General features: G+C 43.3%; 1 annotated feature.

Moving 5' to 3' along the window:
- Positions 1565-2065: an enhancer, noted in NCBI's record as "H3K27ac hESC enhancer chr8:82298809-82299309 (GRCh37/hg19 assembly coordinates)". NCBI's record gives its function as "activates a minimal SCP1, AML or CMV promoter by ChIP-STARR-seq in naive H9 embryonic stem cells {active_cell/tissue: H9 hESC(naive)}" and the evidence as "EXISTENCE:reporter gene assay evidence [ECO:0000049][PMID:30033119]".

Here is a 2567-nt window from a genome sequence, read left to right as displayed (position 1 = left end):
TGAGTACATTCCCCCCTTATCCCAACCTACTCTGGAGATAAAACTATCATCTTGAATTTTTGAATTAATCATTCCCTTGCCTTTCTTTATAGTTTTATTACTTCTGTATATGTCTCTAAATCATCTATTATTCATACTTTATATATTGTTCAGAGACTGCTTATTTCACTCATGGTATATTTTTGAGATTTTGCCACATTGGTAATTCAGTTTCACTGTTGAGTATCTTTCATTATATGAATACAATATAAGTTACATATCTGGGCTATCAGTGACAACTGTTTGGTTTGTTTCCAGGTTTTTAGTTTACAAACAATGCTGTTGTGAACATTCTTCTACATGCTTCCTTGTATACATGGTGAAGAGTTCCTCGGAGGAACATGCCTAGAAATTGAATTACTGGGTCAGAGAGTTCAAATTTACTAGGTAACGCCAAACCATTCTAAATATTTTTGAGTATACGTTCTCACCAGCAATGGGTGAACATCTCTATTGTTTCATATCTGTGTAAACATCTGATATTACCTGCTTTCTTAATTTTGCCAACTTGGTGAATATGAAATGACTTTAATTTGCATTTTTATGACTAATAAGGTTGGATATCTTTTTATATTTATATAGGTTAAAACAGAGAGCCCAGGAAACAGATCTACACATATGGAAACCTGACTTATGACACAGTAAGCATTGAAAATCATTGAGGCAAAGATAGACTGTAACAGTTTATTCTCCCTGTAGAAAAATAAGTAAATAAAAATAAATCCCTACCTCATAGGGTTTGGGGGTTCTTTTTTGTTGTTTTTTTAAGATAGGATTTCACTCTGTCACCCAGGCTGGAGTGCATGGCATGATGTCAGCTCACTCCAAACTCCATCTCTCGGGTTCAAGCGATTCTCATGCTTCAGCCTCACAAGTAGCTGGGATTACAGGCATGCAACACCACATCCAGCAAATTTTTATATTTTTAGTAGAGATGGGGTTTCACCACATTGGCCAGGCTGGTCTTGAACTTCTGACCTCAAGTGATCCACCCACCTTGGCCTCCCAAAACTCATAGGTTTTTTCAGATCCTATTTATATGTTCATGACTTGATCAACCATGTCCTGGAAAAGTTTACTATGTTTCCATCTATTTCTCCTTGTAGTTCTGGTAGTTTTTACCTTATAATTTATGTGATGTTATGCTAATTGGCATATATATGTTCTTTATTGTGGGTCAAAATGTTTCTCACTATAAAATTTTCTCCATTGTCTTATTTAATTCATTTGCTCTAAATTCAGATATGACTGATGTTAAGATGACAATCCTTGGAGACTGATTCAAAATGGATGACTAGATACCTCCTCCACAGAGAGGAACAAAAATAGGAAGCAGACATCCATGCTTTGAATAGATCATCTAAGAGTGAATACTGGGATTCAACAGAGTGACAGAAAGTACCAAAAGCAAGTAAGGAGAGGGATGCAAGGCAGCTTGCTTTACTAGGACCAGCTGGGAAAGCAGTAAGAAGCTCCCAGATGTGAGGAAAGAGTAAGAGAGAAACCAAACTCTCAGGGCTGCACACTCCTGCCAGTGTTTTACAGTCTTAACTACAAGAGAACCCCTCAACCCATGTGGGCCTCGAGACTAACCTAGGGAGCTGCCTAGAGACTACACGGAGACATTGCTCCAGAGAAGAAACTTATATGGAGTCCCACAAGCATCCAAGCCCACAGCAGCTGCAGCTTGGTGCCCTTCTGAGGATCTAAGCTCTGAAGGTCTGAATCCTACCCTGGAGCCAGGCTGACATTGCCACTGTTGCTGCCAAGCCAAAAAGGGAGAGGAGAGGTCAGGTATTGCCACATACCTTAAGGACAAATCCCACTGCTGCTGCTGTGGACTGCTGTGGGATCGAGGCATGAGTAAACCACACTCCCCATAGCTACCTACCCGCACTGTTTCAGCTGAGAGGGGCACTGTCCTCCTTGGTGGCAGAACTGCAGTGCAGCCACCAGTGCCTGGATCTGAGGATTCTGCCAGCAGCCTCACTTCTGCCTACCACAGTCAGTGCCTGAATGTACTATCAGGGGGCCTGAAAGCCAGACTACCAGCCCAATTGCATCCCCTCAGTACTAGAGCATGCCATTCGGGGAATTACCCATCTCAGGCCAGTCTACCATCATTGGCACCTGATTACTCCTACTGGAGTCTCAGGTCAGGCTGGCCCAACCTAACTATACCACCACAGCTGGAACTCATCCACATGCATCACCAGTGAGCCAGAAGACTGGCCAGCTCAATCTGTTGTAGCAACTACCAACACCAGGATGGACTACTTGGGTTCCAGTAGGTTTCTCTACCATAACTACTGCCATCACCCCAGTTGCTCAGGGGCCCAAGAACACACCCACATGCCCAGTCCACTGCTGCCACTACCAGTATCTAAGCAAGCCACCTGGGGGCCCCAAAATTGGACCTTCTAGACCCACCTCACTAACACTGGTGCCAGTGTCTCTTGGGCCCCCAAACAGGCATGCTCAGCCCACTACCTCCACCACTGGGGCCCAAAGACTAGTCTATCTGGCAT

Source organism: Homo sapiens, chromosome 8, assembly GCF_000001405.40.
Source record: "Homo sapiens chromosome 8, GRCh38.p14 Primary Assembly".
In the NCBI taxonomy this organism is placed as follows: Eukaryota; Metazoa; Chordata; class Mammalia; order Primates; family Hominidae; genus Homo; species Homo sapiens.
This window is presented reverse-complemented; position numbering and strand designations above follow the sequence as displayed.